At 45.1% G+C, this 22,118-nt stretch overlaps 1 protein-coding gene across 4 annotated transcripts, besides 1 other annotated feature; it reads left to right on the top strand.

The window, feature by feature from the left end:
• Positions 1-18,451: 18,451 nt before the first annotated feature.
• FAM241B (family with sequence similarity 241 member B) lies at positions 18,452-21,801 on the top strand. Of its 4 annotated transcripts, none has more exons than XM_005269606.3 (4): positions 18,452-18,864; positions 19,685-19,752; positions 19,914-20,044; positions 20,995-21,801. In XM_005269606.3, exons 1-4 carry the CDS (start codon positions 18,842-18,844, stop codon positions 21,262-21,264), a joined length of 492 nt encoding a protein of 163 aa, XP_005269663.1. In that variant the 5' UTR covers positions 18,452-18,841; the 3' UTR covers positions 21,265-21,801. The 4 variants fall into 4 exon arrangements, with proteins under 4 accessions (XP_005269663.1, NP_660349.1, XP_005269665.1 ...); NM_145306.3 differs by having other exon boundaries at positions 18,452-18,518; XM_011539455.3 differs by lacking the exon at positions 18,452-18,864 and adding an exon at positions 18,909-19,480.
• Positions 18,995-19,880: an enhancer, noted in NCBI's record as "H3K27ac-H3K4me1 hESC enhancer chr10:71390546-71391431 (GRCh37/hg19 assembly coordinates)". NCBI's record gives its function as "activates a minimal SCP1, AML or CMV promoter by ChIP-STARR-seq in naive H9 embryonic stem cells {active_cell/tissue: H9 hESC(naive)}" and the evidence as "EXISTENCE:reporter gene assay evidence [ECO:0000049][PMID:30033119]".
• Positions 21,802-22,118: the final 317 nt, after the last annotated feature.

A 22,118-nucleotide genomic window follows, 5' to 3' on the forward strand; every position in this document is an offset into this window, starting at 1 on the left:
GATAAATAAACTGTGGTACATTCAGACAATCGAATATTATTCTGTGCTAAAAAGAAATGAGTTATCGGCCAGATGTGGTGGCTTGTGCCTTTAATTCTAGCAGTTTGGAAGGCCGAGGCAGGAGGATCACTTGAAGCCAGGAGTTCTAGACCAGCCTGGGCAATGTAGTGAGACCTCTTCTACAAAAAAAAGAAAGAAAGGGAATAAAGGAAGGAAGCAAGGAGGGAAGGAAGGAAGGAAGGAAGGGTGTTATCAAGCCATGAAAAGACATGGAGGAAACTTGAATGCATATTTCTAATAAAATATGAAAGAAGCCAAACTGAAAATGCTACATACTGTATGATTCCAATTATATGACATTCTGGAAAAGACAAAACTGTGGAGACAGTAAAAAGATTAGTGGTGGCTGGGCACACTGGCTCACGCCTGTAATCCCAGCACTTTGGGAGGCTGAGGTGAGCAGATCACTTGAGGTCAGGAGTTTGAGACCAGCCTGGCCACCATGGTGAAACCCCATCTCTACTAAAAATACAAAAATTAGCCGGGCATGGTGGTGGGCACCTATAATCCCAGCTACCCAGGAGGCTGAGGCAGGAGAATTGCTTGAACCCAGGAGGCGGAAGTTATGGTGAGCTGAGATCACGCCACTGCACTCACACTGCACTGCAACAGAGCAAGACTCCATCTCAAAAAAAAAAAAAAAAAGATTAGTGGTTTCCAGGAATGGGGGCGGTGCAGGATGAATAAGTGGAGCCCAGAGGATTTTGAGAACAGTGTAACTGCTCTTGCACGATGCTACAATGATACGTACACATCATTACATATTTGTCCCTACCCATAGAATGTACAACCCTAAGAGTGAACCCTAATGTAAAGTATGGACTCTGGGTAATAACAATGTGCCAATGTAGGCTCATCAACTGTAACAAATGTGCGAGATGTTGGTAATGGGGGAGGCTATGTATGTGTGGGGGAAGGGAGTATATGGGAAATCTCAGGACCTTCTGCTCAATTTTGCTAGGCAACTAAAGCTGCTCTGAAAAATAAAGTCTATTTTGAAGAAAGCACTTATTCATTAGGAGTTGCTGTTTTGGCTGAACTTAGAACTCTGAGACTACAATGTGCACAGGCCTGAACTAGTCTGCTGGAGTTCATGTGGAGGAGAAACAAAGCACCCTGGCCAACTGCCTGCAAACTTCCAGAGATGTGAGTGAGTTAGCTTCAATTGGTGGATAACCCTGAAATAAACTGTGTGGGAAAGGCAGGTTAAATGCTCAACTCATTTATTTACCAGTGCTCAGAAAAATGAATTATTACCCTAGTATGGTGTATGTGTATTGGGCTAACTTAGCTAAGCTGGAACTATGTTTTCCAGAATTTCCTTCCCTGCAGAGTTCCAGGTTAGTGTCCATCATGGTAGATATTTTGCACAAGACTTGGAAGGCAGAAGTGAAGCAGCAGCCACATATAATTGTGTATGCTCAGAAGATCAAGGCCAGGCACTGTGCAGCTTATGCACATTGTTGATATCTGTTGGCTAATTGTCCATGTGGGATAGAAGCTAGGCCTGCAGGTACTTCAGCTTCTCTGACTTCATGGTTAGAGTGTGTTTAATTCCACAATAAAGGTGCATGTCATCAACATCATTGGTGTTGATGGAGGCTTAGAGTTGGTGAGAGACTGATGTAGGCTCCTGCTCCTTTTCACAGGTTCCAATTTGTCTTTGCTCCCCCAACTTCATGTCCATCTTACATTCCTGCCTGTGTTTGTCCTCAGGCGCTGGCAGCTGACTTAGAAGCAACAGCTTCACACAGATGGTATAACCAGCTCTCACATTTGAGTAAGGTCAAAACCCTATGATAAATCCTTCATTTTAAATATCTCCTGGTGGTTATCCCTCTCTGATGACTCTAGAAGATACCCCTAGCAACTTCCAAAGTAATCAGTGACTTACTTTAAAAAAAAATAGCTTATTTACTTACAGATGAGACTTCCAATTTCAGCATTAACATGCAAGGGACTTGGAAGTCAATGTTCTATACTTAAAACAAGAAAAAAGCTAAACTGAAAAATCAGTGGCTTTTCTTAGATCCATCAGAGAATCGAGGTCACAGTGCAAACCACCACCCTGGAGAGACTGGTGCATAGAGAGGAACAAGCAGAATCAGCTTACCTGAGCAGAAGCTCCTGGAGCAATGGTAGGTACACTTACACGGTAGTTTTGATGAAATGTTGGAGGCTGAATGTGTATTAGTTTGAGAGTGAGATACTTTCCTGGGGGCTCAGGCATAGGGGGGTCTCCACACTTTCATGGTTTTATTTTCAGTAACCTCACCAGGTTCTCAAGGTGAAGATCTAAGAGAAATCCCCTTCTGTCCAGAGTGTTCTCCATAACTAAGGCCTGCCCTTTAGGGGAGAGCCTTATGTACCTCAGGGCAAATCCAGCCTCCTCTAGCCTTCCTGTCTCACCTAAGGGGAGAAAAAACAAAAAGCTAAGAAACACTTCTGGCAGTCACAGGCCAGTGACTTTTGCCCAGTAGAAGACATTTGCATGAGGTTACAGATTGCTTCCTCTCCTCCAACTTTACGTCAACAGGACTCTAGTAACAGTGGATTATAACTGCCAGAGTTATAAGACACAGGCTCTATTTAAGAAGGAGTTCTTAGGGAAATCCAAAGATAACAGGGGAGGGGGAAAATCCAACAAAGACACTACAGGAAATGGAAGCTTATGGCGCCTACAGGTAGAGCAAACAGTAAACTTGGTTCAGCTCCTAGCTAAATTAACATAACTCCTCGCTCCAAAGGCCTATTTCTCTCCCTTCCTATGACTTGATACATCACATTGGTTTTCAAAACAAACAAAGAAACAAACAAAAAACGACAAAGCATGCTAAAAGGCAAGAAAAAAACGTAATTTGAAAAGACAAAGCAATCTTCAGAACCAGACTCAGATATGTACTCACGGATGAGTTTCAACCCAATGCAGTAATTATTGTTTCTAATGTCCACATTTTTCCATTTTTGGCCAGTGGAAGTCCTTTCAGGTTGGTTTCTCTGTCCTTTTGGCACAGCCCTCAGAGTAGCTTCCCTGCTACTCAGACTCACCTTGTATATTTCTTGTCCATGTGTACAGCTAGCTTTTTCTCCACAGAGCCCTCATTCCTCTTAGGAGGCAATGGTAATTAGAGGTCACAGTCTAGGGGTTCAGGGTGTTTGTTGCCAGAGTTGGTTGTTACTTCTAGGCCTTTTCAGTTAGTATAAGAACAGAGGCTGCTTTTTATAATTATTTATTGTTATAGTTTTTAAAAAGAAAAATACATCATAAGCCTCTACTGATAATTCCAGTTTAAATTTAGCATTCCATGCGTTTTAGTTAAATTCTTTGAATTTATATTTGTATTTCTTTTCTCTTCTGCAAAAATTTTGACTACTAACTATATTAGCAGTTACTTATTTGTTTTATCTCACTATGCATAATAATTTCAAACTAACAAACCAATATTATTACTAAAATAGACTTACTAAATACAATTTAAGATATTTTTGAAGTTTTAAAAATCTTTATAACATATTAATGTGTTTTAAAATCACTTCAGCTAATTCTCTGTGGTTAAGCCCCAACCTTGATATGCAGTAGTCTCAGTCTGTTTTCTGTAGCTTATAACAGAATACCTAAACTGGGTAATTTGTAAAGTCAAGGAATTTATTTCTTACAGTTCTGGAGGCCGAGGAGTCCAAGGTCAGTGAGAGGCATCTTCTGAGGTTCTTCTTGCTGGCAGGGACTCTCTACAGAGTCACAAGGCAGCATGGGGTGTTACACGGCAAGCGGTTGAGTGTGCCATCTCAGGTCTTTCTCTTATAAAGCCACCAGTTCCACTTCCACAATAACCCATTAATTCATTAACCTACTAATCCATTAATCCATGAACTGATTAATTCCATTGATGAAAACAGAACCTTCAAGACCCAATCACTTCTTAAAGGCCCCACTGCTCAATACTGCCACACTGGGGATTAAAGTTCAGCATGAGTTTTGGAGGAGGCAGATATTCAAACCATAGCAGTAAAGTTTATAGAATTCATTGTGTCTTTTATTTTTGATGTTACTTTTAATTTTAACATTTAATTTTGTTTTATAATTATGTAGGATGGCTCCAAAGTCAAAACTACAACAAGATATTTTCAGAGAAGATTAATTTCCAATCCTGTCTCCTCTGTCCTGTTATTGGAAACCATTTTCATTAGTTTTTGGTTTATCCTTTCTTTGTTAAAAATATAAGCAAATTTATTCATTTATTTCTTCTTGTTTGTACTTAAATTCTCCCTTTCTTAGATAAAAGGCACCGTGCTGTATACCGTTCTGTATTTTGCTTTTTTTTCCCTTGTCGACTCTCATTCCATAGTTGTGTATCTGTAACTGGATTCTGGGTGAACTGCACCTATCAGGATGCAAATAGGAAGCAGCTATATTGGTTCTCCCCACTTCCCCTCCAAACCAGCTCTTCTTTTATTCTTTGTTGCCCCTGGGTGAAATCTCTGGCCGTTCTCAGGTTATCCCAATCACCAACAGCTAACAAGTGAATAGCATCTTTCCCCAAACATTAGAATGTTCAGTCCAGTGTGATATCAAAACTCCAACTTTATTTAGAGCTTTCCCTCTCCCTCAGCTCAGAACGACAGCAGAATGAGTACCCTGCAGTGGGACAAGTGTGTGGGTGGGAGGCGTTATCAACTGCTCTCTTCTTTTCCTTCGCCTGCCCACCCTCCCAGCTGCTGGTTATTCTTCAGAGTGGGAAGACACAGGATAGTTCTTGCTTGGCTGCTCTAGTTGTCACTGGGTGCTGGTGCTCTCTGGGTGTGGCCATTCCAAATGCTGATTGTCTCACTCTAGAGGTAGCTTCCTGGGGTCTTTGGAGACCATTTTATCACTAAGGATCGCTCACCTACAGTTCCCTAGGCACAGATATTATCCCACTTGCTCTTCCCATGTAAGTCACCACTTAGCCCCTTCGTATCTGGGGAGACACCTGGTCCCTTCACACTCTCAAGGTGACCCAGCCTCGCTTCCTTCTTCAGGCTCCACATGTGAGCCAGGAACTCAGGGATCCTTTGCCCATCCAGATTCTGGAAGCAGTAGCTGCTCTCAGGTAGCTGCTTCTCTTCCCTCTGCCAACCTAGGGCAGCTGCAATGCAGACTCTCTTAGACTTTTCGAATGTGAATTGGACACATCCAATTCACACATCTACATCCTTCAAATGCTAAGGAACATGTGTCAAACTCTCTATGTGGTTTTCCTGAAACTCTTTAATTTGGCTGGAGGTGCCAGAATGCCCAGCACGCTGCCAAATCTCTCCAAAAATGCTTCTTCACTGGACTCTTCCACATCTTCAAACATTTTTTTTTGTCTTTGTTTTTATGGCATGGAGGTGGGTGATGGACCAGTGCTGGCAGACCCAGTTTTGGCATTATGATCACACATGTCCTATAGAAGTTGTCTAGCATCCCACTTTAGAAGTGGGGAATATGGGCTTCTATCACTTTGTTCTGGGCCTCTGGGGCCGCTGCCAAAATTCTGAGGTGAAAGAAAAGCTGTAATTTCATTTTATTTTTTATTTTTATTTTTTGAGATGGAGCCTCGCTTTGTTGCCCAGACTGGAGTGCAGTAGCGTGATCTCGGCTCACTGCAACCTCCGCCTTCTGGGTTTAAGCTATTTTCCTGCCTCAGCCTGCCAAGTAGCTGGGAATACAGGCGCGTGCCACCACGCCTGGCTAATTTTTGTATTTTCAGTACAGATGGGGTTTCACCATGTTGGCCAGGATGGTCTCGAAATCCTGACCTCAAGTGATCCACCCACCTAGGCCTTCCAAAGTGCTGGGATTTCATGTTCTGTTGTCTTTCTAATGAGTTGTGTTCTGAATGTAGCATTTGAGTTATTTTCCCATATTGCAGGTGGGAAAGACAAAGTGGCTCATTCCACAGCCCATAGTAACTGTTAAAACAGAGATTCTTAGCTCTGGTGCCTTTGTTAGCCACCAAGACCTGGAACTGTGGGCTGCTCTGTTGCAAAAACTATTTCTAAGCATTTATTGTGGCCCAACATTTTCCTGTTGGAAAGATTCCAGTTCCTCTCTTCCTCTTGACTCCTGGGGCTGACAGGCGGCCTTCCCCTGCTGCGGGCAGCATCCCATGCTTCCAGATGGACACTCAACATCTTCAAGCACAATGTGTGGTTAAGGGCATGTGTTTAGAGACAAACCCCCTGGCTCTGCCTCTTTCTAGCTGTGAGAGTTTCTGGGCAAGTCACCTAACTGTGTACTTTGAACCTTGTCATAAAATGGGTATATTAACACCATCAGTTTTGCAGAATATGGTAAGGATTGGAGAGAGGTGTGTGTGTGATGTTTAGTCTGGGGCCTAGCACATAGTAAATGCTCAGTAAATGGTAATATATTAGTCCAGCTAGCTAGGCCATGCTGCTGCAACAAACACAAAAAATGCTCAACCTGAGGTATTTGGCACACAGGGCTATTTTCCATGCACTGCTTTCTGATGTGAGCTGGGTGGGCCTTTCTTCTTGTGGCTCTATTGTCTAGAACACATGACCTCCATGGTCACTATATCAGGAAAAGAGAGAGCCGGGGTCATAGGGGATATTTTTAAAGACAAAGTCTGGAAGTGGCTCATGCCTCTGCCATCTTTTTTCTATTGGGCAGAACTCAGTAACATGGCCCTGATCTTATTTTAAGGCAAATATGGTTTTCCTTTGTGCCCAGGAATAAGAAATGGTGTGGTGAACACATAGCATTGCCCACTTGCTATTCAGCAGGGAGACCCTTTTGGCCCTTGGTTGTGGCAGACAGAAAGGGTTCAGGAAACACAAGATGATTGATTGACTTCGCTTTGGAGGGAGGGAGAGGCCACCTTCTCCCACCCTGACTCATGGTGGCACTCAGACCACCTGGAAGGCAGAAGTCTGGGCAGGTGGCAGCACTCTGGGGAAGGGTCAGGCTCAGAAGGGCAGAGGTTCCCTGGGGAGCACATGGTGCCTACCATCTGGCCTGAGGCCTCATTCGACCCCCAGGGCTGGCTTCGCTTCTGTGGCTTCCCAGGCAGGGCCAAGGTGGGACCTTGTGCTGTTGGAGATTCACACACTTGTTTCTGCAGTCAGCCTTGGTGTCACAGGCATGGTGCAGGCATGGGACTTTGCTCTGTTGAGGATTCCACACTTGTTTCTGTGATCAGTGCCTTATCACAGGCCTCCATCCTCCCTGACTTTCCTCCATCCTAAGCCTCAGAGGCAGATCCTGTGTAGCTTAGGTCACTGACTGGAGTCCTGCTGTCCCCACAGTACCTGCAGGCTCCAAAACTTCCATGGCTTCCTATGGCCTACAGTGCAAGTCACAGACTAAGAATGTAAGAGCTGGGGTGATCTTGGAAATCTCTGAGTCCAGGGGTGTCTTTGGGCAGCTAAGGAAAGAGGTGCCCAGAGTCCTGGCTTTACTATGTATTTATGTTTCATATTCTGAACAATGTCTTAGTCCATTCAGCTGCTATAATACAACACAATAAATTGGGTGGCAAATAAACAACAGAAATGTATTTCGAACAGTTCTAGAGGCTGGGAAATCCAAGAGGAAAGAAAGCACCAGCAGATTGGGTGTCTAGTGAGAGGCATCTTCCTGTCTTATACAGGACACCTTCCTGCTGCATCTTCACATGGTGGAAGGGGTAAATGAGCTCCCTTGTGCCTCTCTTATAAGGGCACTAATCCCATTCATAAAAGTTTCACCTAATGACCTAATCACCTCCCAAAGTCTCCAGCTCCAAATACCATCGTCTTGGGGATTAGATTTCAATGTACGCATTTTCAGGGACACAAACATTGAAACCATAGCACCCAAATAATTTTCCAAGCCTCCTCTTCCAACACCCCCCAAGATGATCTCCATCTTTCCAGGTCAGCCTCTGTCATCGAACATGTCATTTAGAGTCCCAGCCTCACACCTCTGCCAATGCCAATTCCATCGCCTGAAAGGGCACTCCGCCTTTGACTTACTTGGGTTTCGCAAGACTTTCTCATCTCCGGAGCTCACTCTTCATCTTGAGCTCCTGCAGCCTAGATGGGCCTGTGCTGTGGTCCTCTCTGACTGTCTAAATTTTTACTTGACTCTGAATGTCCTTATGGGATTGTGTTTCTGTCCTTGCACCACCAGGGCTCTAGGAGGGGAAGGGTCACTAGTAATAACAACGGGTTGAAGATAACAGCAAACTGGATCAGGCTTCATGTGCTTGATACTATTGTCTTCATCAATTCCATTGCAAACATAGAGGATGGGAATGATCACCGCCATGTTACAGATGAGGAAACAGGCTCAGAGGGATTGAGTTACTTGCCCAAGGTGACCCAGTTTGTGAGCTGCAGAGCAAGCATCTGAATGGCAGTGTGACTGACCCTGAACTCAAGCCCTTAATATTGGGCTGTCTGGTCACATGGGTGGCTCCTGCTCATGGTGGTGGCAGGTACTGGTGACTGTCTACTCTTCCAGACAGCTCCATCTGAATGGCATGCATGGGGAAACTGAGGCCCACTGAAGGTCACACTGCCTAAGCACCGAGCCGGGAGGTAGAGGTAGCTCTGTCGTATCCCACGGACTTGCCTTACACCGGGGTGGGGGCTTTGCTACCTTTCCTGGTCATTTTATTTCCTGCTCCAGCAGAAAGTGACCTGGGAGAGGATGCGCCAGAGACACTATTGGTTCCTATATGGCATAGGGACTGCTGACCCCCTCCTCCTGCCTTTCCCCTGCAGACCATAGGTCCCAGCACCATTGAAATTTCAGTCCCAAACCTCAGCCAGACCCTGAACATATGTTCCACCCTGAAAGGAACAATGAAGCAAGCCTCCAGGCTTAATTAAGACCCCACAAAAAGCCCTTCTGGGCTGGCCTTATTCTCTGCTTTTGGTTGCTTTTTCACCCACCCCACCCCCGCTCTTCTGTTTCTGCCACTTCCTCTGTGGAAAGGATGAAAGGCATTCGAGACACCCGGGCTCTTCCATACTCCCTGGTCCTCTTTTCTTCCAGTCTGCCCTCCCTCCACTCTTCTAAGCCCTGAAGTAGGAGAGGAGGCTGCCTGGGTTCGGGCGCCCAGCTGCAGAAACAGGCAGGCAGTGAGAGACTGCCTGGCTTCCAGTGCTTGCAGGGCTGCCCTCCCTGGGCTGGGACCCTCTGGCTAAGTTGTGGGGTCAGCCTGGCCCAGGTCTGCAATCTGATCTGGATTTTGGAGGAAGATTCTGCAACAGGTGGCTGCACTGACTTTAAGGTGGAGCCCCAGTTCTGAGGGCTCTGTAGCTGCACCCTTGGGTCCAGGTCTACTGGCCTGTGAAGGGTCGTCAAAAGGCCCAAGCATGGCACAGGGGTGCAAGGAATTTTTATGTTGAATAAATATATGAATTTTTACTTATTTAACAAAGCTCATGTACTGTGTACTGGATGCCTAAGACCTATTAATCCTCACATTAGGTATTATCATCCCTATTTTGCACATGAGACCATCAAGGGACAGAGAGATTAAGCAAACTGCACAAGATCACACAGCAAGTAGAGGATTTGAATCCAAGCGAACTGGCCTCAGAGGCCATACACTTAATACCTGCCTAGGCTGCTTCTAATGGAAGAACAGACCCATTTGACCACCACCAGATAAACTGACTCCTTCCTCAGTTCTGTTCCTCTGAATTCTCTGTGCAGTTCCACAAATTATTATAAAGTGAAAGTCTGTGAAACCACTAGCCAGGTCAGGAAATTGAGCACCGCCAGCACCTCAGTCTCCCTGCCCATCGTGTGCAAGCCTTTTTCTGGGCACAGCTTCTCCTGTACCCTAGAGCTAACCATTACATTTTCAGTAATAATTTCATTGCATTTCTTTGTACTTTTAGCACCCCAGTATGCATCCTTAGACAATATAATTCAATTTTACTCTCCTTTGATCTTTATATAAATGAAACCATGCAGTAAAATTTATTTTGCTTTTGGCTTCTTTTGTTCAATATAATATTTTTCTATTCAACTATAGTATTGCATATAGTTGGTGTTCATAGCCTTTACTACTCTATAGTATTATATTGTATACTATAATTTATCGATTTTACTCTGACAGACATTTGAATTGTTTTCCAGCTTCTATTATGAAAAATGCTTGTATATATGACATGGTGCACATGACCATTCACTTTTGTGTCCTGGGTCATGAAGAATGCAAATATTCCCCCTTCCTAGGCAATTCCAAATGGTTTTTCAAAGTGGTTGTACCAACTTACACATCCACTGGCAGCGTATGGAAACTCTCATTGCTGTAACTCAGCACCAATACTTGGTGTTGTCAGACTTGGTAATTAGAGTCTATCTATTCTATCTATCTGATGAATGTGTGGAAGTATCTTGTGAAGGTTTTAATTTGTATTTCTCTGATTGTTAATGATGCTGGGCACTTTTTCAAAACTTTATTGGCCATTTGGGTTTCTTTCTTTTGTAATGTACCTGATCAAATCTTTTGCCCACTTTTTTACGGATTGTCTATTTTCTTATTCATTTTAGAGGCTCTCTGTATATTCTGGATATGAATCATTTGTGGCTCTATGTATTGCAAAAAACCTTTTCTTGGGCACGGAGCTGCCTTTTTACTTAAAAAAAGTCTTGATCAATGAGTTCTTAATGTAAATTTAATGTAATAAAATTTATCAATCATTTTCTTTATGGTTGGCATTTCTTATAATGTGTTCAGAAAATTTCTCCTACTCTGAGGTCTAGAATATCTATATTTATATTTATACATATGATTTATATTCTAAATCCTTTGTGTTTTGCCTTTCATATTTAGGTCAATGATACAAGAATTTATTTTTGGTATATGTACAAATATATTAGGTAGGGGTCCAATTTCATTTTTTTTCTTACAGGAATACCCAATTATCACAGCACCATTTATTTAAAAGATTCCTTTTCCTATGTTCTGCACTTCCACTTTGCCATAAATCCCAGTTTATGGGTTTGTTTCTAGACTCTATCTACTGATTGGTCATTTTGTTATTCCTGTACCTAGGTCATAGTGTCTTAATCTCTTAATTTCTATAACCTTAAGATTGAATGTCTGCTTCCAGGAAGATGGAGAAAATATACTTTTTTATATTCCTCCTCAGTACAACTAAAAACTCTGAACGTTAGGTGTAAAACAAACATAAGAAGACTTTGAAAGATGGACAGAAGAAGGCAGGCAGTTTGGGGGCTTTGGAATCTGAAGAAAGACACAACACGGGGTGAATTCCGTGAGTTTGCCTTCTGGCTCATATGTCCCGGATTAGCAGCTGAAGAAGCTAGCAACCTGGAAGCAGCCAAGTGTATAGATAACAAAAGCCCCCTAAAAGCCACCTCTTTCTAGCCAAAGTACTAGGAAAGGTACCTAGAAAGACTAAAAGTTTTTAGCCAATAGCTGCTTTACTTTAGCCAAACACCACAGGAAAAACTCACACCTGCAAAGACCAAGTGGCAAGCCTAGACTTACACCTTTTTAAGGCCATAACAAGCCATCCAGAACCCCTGCTGGAATGGTGTTAGAGGCTGAATAGGAAGTCAGTACCTTAGTCTTCCTTATCTGGTAATGTATCTCTCCCCCACCATGATGTCAGTGGAGACAATCTGGGGAATAGGAAACCCCATACCCCTTAGCAGTAATGAGGAGCACTCCCTCCCCATAACTTGGGTGTCTATGAGGCTGAGTGGGAAACCTTGGCTTCTACCTCCACAGATCATGAATGATGCAGTGCCTCTCCTTTCCCTGATGGAGCACTGACAGAAAAAGCTAGCTAAAACAGAAAGTTTAATAAGAGCCAGAGTCTCATAATATAATGCAAAAAATCCAGATTTTATTAGAAAATCACTTGTCAAAACTAAGAACTAGGAAGGCATCAAATTGAATGAAAAAGACATTAGTAGATGGCAACACTGAAAGACAGAGGTGTTAGAATTATCTGACAAAGATTTTAAAGCAACCAAAATATAAATGTTTTATTGGGCAATTATGAACACGCTTGAAGTAGTGACAAAATAGAAAGCCTCAACAATAGAGTAGAAGACATAAAAAAGAACTAATGGAAAGGAGAAATGGAAAAGTATAATAATTCAAATAAAAGGCTGAGCAGATGGGCTCAACAGCAGAATGGAATCAGTGAGCTGGAAGATATTTAATAGAACAATACAAATTGCCCAGTCTGAACAAATAGGCAGAAAATAGACTAAAACCAAACAAACAAACAGGAAAACCCAGAGCCTCAGGGACCTGTAGGACTACAACAAAAGATTTAACATTTGTGTCACTGAAGACACAGAAGGAGAGGAGGAGAGTGAGGCTAAAAAGTAGTCAAATAAATAATGGCTAAAAACTTTCCAAATTTGGCAACAGATATAAATCTACTGATTCAAGAACAGAGTGAATCCCAAATAGGAAAATTCCAAGGAAATCCATCTGAAACACATCATAATTAAACTTCTGAAAAATCAAAGACAAAGAAAATACCTTGAAAGCAGCCAAGGGAAAAAATGACACCTTATCCTTAGGGGAAAACAATTCAAATAACAGCAGATTTTTCATTAGATACCATGGAGGCTAGAGGGAAATGGTACAATATTTTTCAGGTGTTGAAAGAAAGAACTGTCAACACTAGTGAAAATATCTAGTCAACACTAGAACTCTCTCTCTAGTGAAAATATTCTTCGTGAATGCAGAGTATATCAAGACAATCACAGATGAAAGAAAACGAAAGTAATTTGTTACCAGACCTACCCTAAAACAAAAAGGCTAGAGGAAGTTCTCCAAATAGAAAGGAAACAATATAAGAAAGAAACTTAGAATAGTAGGAAAGAAAAAAATAACATGGTAAGCAAAAATATGAGGAAGTACAATAAACTTTCCTTTTACTTTTGAATTTTATAAATTATATTTGTCTGTTAAAGCAAAAATTATAACACTGATGTGGCTCAAAACACATGTAGAGAGAATCTTTCAGTCAATTACAGTATAACGGGGCGAGTAAAGGAACATAAAGGGAAGCAGGTTCTTACATTTCACCCAAATGAATAAAATGTTGACCCCAGTGGACTGTGATAAGTTGTACATATATTATATCCAGAGTAACTACTAAATAAGCTATACAAAGAGATATACATAATAAAATACTATCGATAAATCAAAATGGAATTTTAAAAAGTGTTCAAGTAACCCACAGGATTACAGGAATGAAAAAAAACAAAAACAAAAACAGAGAAATGACAAACAGAACAAACAGAAACAAAAAATAAATTGGCAATTTAAGCCCTAATGTGTCACTAATTACATTAAATGTAATGGTCTAAATAATCCAAATAAAAGGCAGTCTGGCAGAGTGGATTAAAAACATGATCCACCTATATTCTGTGTATAAGAAATTCTCTTCAAATATAACAATTTAGGCAAGTTGAAAGTAAAATGATGGAAAAAGGTATATTATGCAAACATGAATTAAAGAAAAGCAGGACTTCAGAGCAAGAAAAATTACCAGAGATGGAAAGAGACATTATGTATGATGAAACAATCAATCCACCAAGAAGACATATCAAAACTAAATGTGTACGTACCAAACAACAGAGCTGCAAAACATGTGACGCAAAAACTGGCAGGAGAAATAGACAAATGTATAATTATTGTTAGAGATATCAATATGTCTCTTTCAACAGTTGATAGAACAATTAGTCAGAAAATCATAAAAAATATACAACACCATCAAACAACAGCATGTAAACAACATTCATAGGCTGGGCATGGCAACTCACACTTGTGATCCCAGCACTTTGGGAGGCTGAGGCAAGAGGATTGCTTGAGCCCAGGAGTTCAAGACCAGCCTGTGCAACATAGCAAGAACCCATCTATATAAAAAATTTTAAAAATTAGCTGGGCACATACCTGTAGTCCCAGCTACTTGGGAAGCTAAGGCAGGAGGTCAAGGCTGCAGAGAGCTGTGATTACGCCACTGCACTCCAGCCTTGATGACAGAGCCAGAACCTGTCACAAAAAAAAAAAAAAGAAAAGAAAAGTAAAGAAAAAGAAAGATTTATGGAACATTCCATCCAAAACCAGCAGAATGGATATTCTTTTCAACCTTCTATGAAACATTCATCAAGATAGACCATATCCTGGGCCCTAGAACAAACCTCAACAAACTTAAAAGAATTGAACTCATACAGAGTGTGTTCTCTGACCACAATGTAATTACTAGAACCAATAATGGAAAGATAACAGGAAATCTCCAACACTTGTAGACTAAATGATCCTTTAACATAATCCATGGACCAAAGGGGAAGTAGCAAAAGAAATTTAAAAATACATATAACTAAATGAAAATGAAAATACACGTCAAAATGTGTGGGGCACAGCTAAAAGTGCTAACAGGGAAATTTATAGCACTAAATGTTTACATTGAAACATCTCAAATCAATAATCTAAACTCCCGACTCAAGAACTTAGAAACAGAAGAACAAAATAAACCCAAAGCAAACAGAAGGAAGGAAATAATAAAGATAAGAGCAGAAATCAATGAAATTGAAAACAGAAAAATAGAAACAGAAGACTCAGTGAAGCAGCGCTGGTTCTTTGAAAAGATCAGTCAATAAGATTGATAAACCTCTAGCAAAAGTGAAAGACACAAGATAGAAGACACAAGTACCAATATCCGGAATGACACAGGGATATCAGTGCCTGCCCTGTAGCCATGTGACTCGTTCTTCACAATGGAATGTGAGGGAAGTAATATGTGCTACACCTACAATACTTTTCTTTAAAAGAAATCACTAGCCCTCATTTCTTCTGTCTCACCTTTCCATGAGCTGCATATGGCGAAGAAGTTGGTGAGGCAGTTTTGACGACGCAAATAAGGGTGGCATCCTAGGGTGTAGGGGAGCAATAAGCTAGGAAGAGTGGATGTCCTTGGCTGGCCTTGTGAAGCAGAGCTGCCCATCTACTTGATTGAGTCACTGTATATTTTTTTTGTTCCAGCAGCATAGCCTGTACTCAAGCTAATATATTACACCTAGGTGGGTTTATGTCTTAGGGGACTTACATACTTACATATAACCAAGATATTGTGGGGCCACTCCAGTCTTCTGACTATGTAAGGTGTTTTCTGAGGCCTCCATCAATCCTCTGGTCCCCCATCATCTGTCCATGGATGAGGGCCATCACTGAACCACCCTTCATACCTGTCTACCTGACCCTTTCAAGTCCAGCAATTTTCCCACTACTACTACTACTACTACTACTACTACTACTACTACTACTACTTACTACTCCCTTGTCATTGCTGGAGCACAAGAATCCTTCCACCACACCTCAGACACAATGGACCCAAGGATTTCCACAAGGCCATATAAGGCCCTACCTGTCATACTCACTATCTGGCCATTCCCTTTCCCAAGCCTCATGCCCACCTTTGAGATCCAGCACACAACACCTATGCTCCCATCATTTCCTCCTTTCCCAGTGTTTTCTCTGAAGAGGCCCCTGTCATACTGTCTTCCATGGCCACAGGCCTAAGGAGGCACCAACAGTGGGCACTGGCAAGCTAGTGCTGCCTTTCTCCCACACCATTCTCTGAGTAATAAACACAGGCATAGTGTCTGCCAGAGTAGGGGAAAGAGACAGGGGGAAATAGCAGGAGAAAGAGATAGATAGATTAATATATTTAAAATGACATCACCATTATCATCATGCCATTCTCTTTTGAGGCAGAAACAGTTGTTCCCACCTGCAGAGTCAGAGAACAGGCCAGGACACCTGACTTAAAAATTATGACCTCTGCTATGAACAGAAAACCAAAAGCACATTTTTATTGACCACATGTTGGGGTTAAGGCATGACCCAATGCCCAATCTTGTGCTGATGGCACTGGGGAAGGTGGGGGCACAATTGTAAAGAGGCTGCAGAGCTGAGATGAACTCAGGGGAGTCTGTTTGGTGGATGCAAAAGCCTGGAATGCAGAGCCCGGGGACCTGCCTTCATTTGAACGCTGGCTCTGTCACTGACCTTGGGCTCATCATCTACCTTGTCTCTGAGCCTCAATTTCACCTTGGTAAAAGAGGAATAATAACACCTACTCTTTCTATTTCATAATCCAAAAAAGAATGAAGTGGTCTCTGGGAAAACACTTTGGAAGTAAGGACTCTGCACATATAGGGGTTATTATTATTATTACATGAAACAATCACGTTTGTGGATGAAGGGATTTAGATTGGGTGGAGCTGGCCTTCCAGCAGATATTCAGGCCCAAGCAAAGCAGGCCTTTGGGTGATCTACTTCAGGGAAAGCAAAGAGGCCAGGTGGGCAGAGCTGAGGGAAGGAGTTGCTGACAGTGTGCTGGGGCTAGAGTTGGAGGGTTGTCAAAGCCTTGCCAATGAGTTGGGGCTTGTTGGAGCAGACAGTAGGGACCATTGCAGGTTCTTGAGCAGGAGAGACACCTGAAGAAGGTGGAGAGATAGCAAAAGTGGTATGTTGCCTCCTTAGGCTATTTTAGTTGGTAATAATAGGCTATTTCTAAGTCCAGTCAAGCACTATCACTTCCCACCCCAAAGCTGTTCTTGACTTTTCTGTAGGGACTTGCTTCTTCCTCTCGACTCTTACGGTTCTCTCCAGCTGGAGTGTATCTCTCTGGCAGCAGTTATACCAGCTCAAATCTTCCTGAAAACATCCATGATTTTCTGCCTGTATCCCCTGGTTTCCCAGCCCACAGAGGTTACCTCCCTCTTGGGGCTCCTGAGTTCCGTGACCTACTTATGGGGTTCTGTTCATGGAAGGCAGTGTTTCTCGGCCCTAGCTGCTCATTAGAAGACTGGTTTTTAAAATGTCTCCATGCACAGATTGTAACCCAGATCAACGACATTGTGATCTCTGGGGTGGAACCTAGGTATTGGGATGGTTTCTAAACATTCCAGGTAATTCCAATGTGCACATTGCGATTTGGGATCACAGGCCACCTCTGACAATCGGGCATCCTGCCTTGTGATTACTGCTTTCATGCGTGCACTTGGCATACCTGGAACACACTGGGGTGTGGGGAGAAAGCACTAGGATTTTGGTTTATATTTACTTTACATCCTATGCTTTTAAAATGTGCATGCTTTACAATCGACTTGATAGTAGAAGAGGTAATGATCATAACAGTCAGCAGCCGTTGAGCATGTACTGCAGCCAGGCTCTCATCCAAGCACTTGACACGAAAGTGCCAGAAAGCAGTCACACCAACATTCAAACACAGGATGGCTCCAGCAGCCACCTTTTATCCATCATGCCAATCTGTTCTCACAGTACACATGTGTAATTTAGAAACAAACAAAAATAGTAACATATAAATAAGATACAGATACCAGAGCGACCCGTGAAACATTTTTTGCTGATAAGGTTTCATGATCAAATAATCAGACTATGGTGGCCGACTATGAGTCCTCCAGGCCAGGTCTAAATCTCTCTCTTAGTTTTGTTCCTTCTGCCCAGCAGCTAGCAGAATCTGGGTTCTAATAAATGCTCAACAAATATCTGCCACTCCCACAAACATTTATTAAATGATAATCATAGCTAACGTTTATCAACATTGCCAATGTGCCAGAGACATCATACTTAATCTTCACAGAAGTCCTGTAAGGCTATGATTACACCTGCTTTGTGACACTGAGCAGCTAAGTAACTTGCTAGAGTCCAGAACCTGAACCCAGACTGTGGGACTGCACAGCTCATTCTCCCCCACTGGTGAGCAGGTCCACAGGGAGCAGCTTATGAAGGTGGTGGGGGAGAAGTGGATTTTAAAACATCAGGAAGGAGGCAGAGGTGGATCATTCACTCCCTGCAGGTGGTTCCTTCTGCCAAGAGTGACCTTCTCTATCCTTACCTACCCTCCTGCCCCAGCTCAAACGCATCTTCTCCTGGAAGCCTACAGAGGGTTCTGCCCCGTTCCTGCCTCATCTTCCCCACTGAACTTGGAACTCCTAGAGGGCAGGGTTGGGTCCTACTCAAGGGGCATCCACGGAGCTGGGTCAGCAAACATAACACTGGTCATCTGAGCCTGCGCCCGCCCTTCCTCCCAGGCCAGGGCGCCCCCACCCCCTGGGTTTTTCCTCCGTGGACGCCGCTTCCTTTTCCTTCTTTTCTCCCTCCTCCTTCTTCTCCTTCTTTTCCACGTGTCTTCTCCTCCCATCCTCTTTTCTCTCCATCCCCACCTCCCACTCCTTCCCACGCCCCATCTCCCCGACCCCCAGCACCCCGCGCCGCCCCCAACCCTGGGCCGGGCAGGTGCAATTCCTCAGGCGGCCTACAGAGGGCGATGTGCGCCGCCACTGGGCCGCGCCCCTCCGGCGCGCGCTTCCTGTGAGGTCAGGTGGGAGGAAACCGCCTGGAGCCGCCGGGAGTGGACGCCGCCGAGGCCCGGAGTCGCGCCTGCAGGTGAGTCGCCGCGCCGGGGAGGGAGCGCATCCCTCGCTGCAGCCCGGGCCGGGACTTGGAGCCGGTGTCGGGCTCCAGAGGCTGGGGCTGGCGGCCGGGGCAGCGTCCCTCCCGCCCCCGGCCCGGAATGTCAGGTGCGCCGCGGGCCGGGCGCGCGGGTGGCCCACCGGGCGGGGGCGCGATGACAAAGCACAAAGGGACTGCGCGCGACCACCATCCGCTCGGCCTGCGCCAGGGCCAGCGGGCTTCAGGAGGGGGACGCGCCTGTCCCGGGCTCCAGGCTACGGGCAAGACCACAGGGCTCCTGACCTTTTTCGGCATACATGTCACCAGTGCTATCTGGAATGTAGGTGGACACTGAGGCTCATCTCCTGAGAATGAATGGCCTTTACCCAGACTCAAGGGGAGGCGTGGAGGGGCCCCGCAGTCCAGGGGTCCGCGGAGTGGAGCCTTTCGAGGGCCACCGCAGCAACCCCCTCCCATATTTTGGGAAGGCTGGGCCCTGCGCCCGTTAGCCAAGGTTGGACTGGTGTTCCCTGCGAAGTGAGGGACAGGTGAGGGGCGTGCCCTCTGCAGCAAAGGTGTGCTCTTCCGAGGCGCATGATGGCTAGGATGGTCTGCCGCTACCAGGCAGTGGTTGTAAAGTAACCCCGAAGTGACCCTCATCTCCCTGGGTGTTCCTGGGGAAGGCCCAGGTGGTGACATTGACTCCCTGGGGGAGCAACACACTCGACCCATTTTTTAGTGGAAGGGAATTGGAACCCCACTGGGGATGCTGGTGCCCTGGACTCCCAGTTTAGTACCCAGGGAGGGCCCTAGAACCAGAGCTTCTGGCCTCGTGTTCCTTCTCTGCTGTCCGTAGGTGTGATCCCGGGCAGGCCACTTAAGTCTCCCTGTGCCTCCGCCTGTGCAATGGCCGCGCTAGTACCCTCCTCGGGGGAGTGTTGTGAGGCTTGAGTGAGGTGAGCCTTGCAGGATGGGCCTTCCACGGGGCGTGGGCCACAGCAGAGGCTCTAGTCCCAGTTGTGCTGTTGGCAGTGTAGTGATTGGCAGTAAAACTTCCTTTGCCAAGGATCTTTTTGATAGTTTTCCTGGTGGACTCAATGTCTGAAATCTTTTTGCCTGGCAAACAACTTGCCTTTATTTCTCCCCTTTTTGTTAATCAGACACAGCATCTACTCAGCGTGGGTCACCTCTGTGAACATCACTGACTGCAAGCCTCCCTCAATTTCTGGTAAATTTTTTCCTTCAAGCTTTTTGAGGTCAGGGGGAAAATCCTCCACAGATCTTCACGAGTCTGGTCCCAGATCACTAACAGCTAAAGGTTTTGTGGTGGGGAGAACTTCTGTGCCACTTGGCTTCCATTAGCCTGCCCACCCTGACCACACAATGCAGGTGCAGCCCATCAGGGACCCACAGCGCCTGGGAGGATGGTGCGGATCTTGGCCAATGGGGAAATCGTGCAGGATGACGACCCCCGAGTGAGGACCACTACCCAGCCACCAAGAGGTAGCATTCCTCGACAGGTAGGTACTCATTTCCTGTGGAGTGGGACAGATGGCCTCCTGTGTACTGGCTACTCCTAGCTTCCAGAAGTCTCTCTTGCTGGTCACTAACCTTTTCTAGCCTGAAGCCCTCTTTGCAGAGAGCTGGGGAAGATGCAGTGGCTTATTGTCTACCTCCCCAGATCTCCTTTCTCCAGGCGCCTCCCCAGACTTCACAGCCAAGAGCTCTCTCTCCTTTAACTTGGTTAGCAAACCTCACTGGAGCTAGCGTCTTTCTTTTAAGAGTGGGTTGGATGACAGAAGCTGGAGAGGAAGTGGAGGAGATGAGCCCTGGGCACAGAATAATCATTTTAAAGGGGTGGCTGGGCGCGGTGGCTCACACCTGTAATCCCAGCACTTTGGGAGGCTGAGGTGGGCGGATCAGGAGGCCAGGAGTTTGAGACCAGCCTGACCAACATGATGAAACCCCATCTCTACTAAAAATACAAAATTAGCCAGGTGTGGTGGTGCATGCCTGTAATCCCAGCTACTCAGGAGGCTGAGGCAGGAGAATCGCTTGAACCTGGGAGGCGGAGGTTGCAGTGAGCTGAGATCGCGCCATTGCACTCCAGCCTGGGTGACAGAGCGAGACTCCGTCTCAAAAAAAAAAAAAAAAAAAAAAAGAAAGGAGTGATGATGAGTATTAAAAATGCTGGCCCTAGAGCCATGCCCTGTAGTCCAACCTGCCTCAACCACTTCCTCTCTCCTCTGTCCTGGGCCTGATGTGAGGAATATAGACTGGCATGTTCTGTGCTCTGAGAGCTTGTGACTTGGTTGTTGGGATTCTTATGGGTGGCATGGGGGATTGCTGAGAAAGGAGGGTGTGACCCTGGGTGGCTGTAGGAAGGGCAGGATGCAGCCTAGAGAGGTTGATTCCTGGCTGGTGCGTCAACCCAATGATTCATTCATCTCTCTCTGTCTTCACATTCCAGAGCTTCTTCAACAGGGGCCATGGTGCTCCCCCAGGGGGTCCTGGCCCCCGCCAGCAGCAGGCAGGTGCCAGGCTGGGTGCTGCTCAGTCCCCCTTCAATGACCTCAACCGGCAGCTGGTGAACATGGGCTTTCCGCAGTGGCATCTTGGCAACCATGCTGTGGAGCCGGTGACCTCCATCCTGCTCCTCTTCCTGCTCATGATGCTTGGTGTTCGTGGCCTCCTCCTGGTTGGCCTTGTCTACCTGGTGTCCCACCTGAGTCAGCGGTGACCTCTGAGGGCTGATAGGGGTGGGTTTGTTGAGAGGGACTTGCTGGGCCTTGGTGTGAGAGCAGGCATATTTGGAGGGGATCTGGTGGTGCCTTGAAGGTATGATCAGAGAGGGGACCACAGGTGTGTGTTTCCCCTTTGTGTTAAGCGTGAGGCAGAGGGAGACGTTAGTCCAGCATTTCCAAAGTGTGGGTGGGTCCGTTGGTTCCCAAGATACTTTTAGGTGGTATGGGGCCTGCATTAAGTGGCACAAAATCAGAGCAAGAAAGCGATGCCCTTCCCAATTCTCTCAATCCTTTTATGCCGAGAAGATCTCAGCTGGATGCCAACATGTTCCGATGCCTGTGGAAGACATGCCGACGTCTCCTCTGCCTAGGGAGCAGGACTTGGGCTTAGGGCAGGTGGAAAAAATTCCAGACTTTTTTAGCACTGTTTTTGTTTTAATGGTATATTTTTATTGGCTACTTTATTGTTTAGGACAAGTGGTAGTGGCATTCTATTTATTGTGACCTTTTCAATAAATAGATTTAAGTAAAAATGAGTCCATATAAAGAAATGTATGAATAATCGTACACCTGCATGCAGATCCGGAAAACATGGTAAAGAGGGATTGGGTTCGGGGAACAGGCAGCAGCGAGCATTTGACCTCAGAGGGTGGTTTCTAAGATTTTCTCAGTAGGAACGCAGAACTAGGAGAGAAGGTCTAGATGAGATCTGGCTTGGACCCCTTGCCTGATGTGTGGATAACTTCCAGCCTCACTCTGAGATGCCAGGCATGATGGTCAGCTTTGTGGGGAGGGTTCCTCTGGCCAGAATGGCTGGTGAGGCTGCAGGGTCGGGAGAGCTGGGGTGCAG

Source organism: Homo sapiens, chromosome 10 (assembly GCF_000001405.40).
Source record: "Homo sapiens chromosome 10, GRCh38.p14 Primary Assembly".
Taxonomy (NCBI): Eukaryota; Metazoa; Chordata; class Mammalia; order Primates; family Hominidae; genus Homo; species Homo sapiens.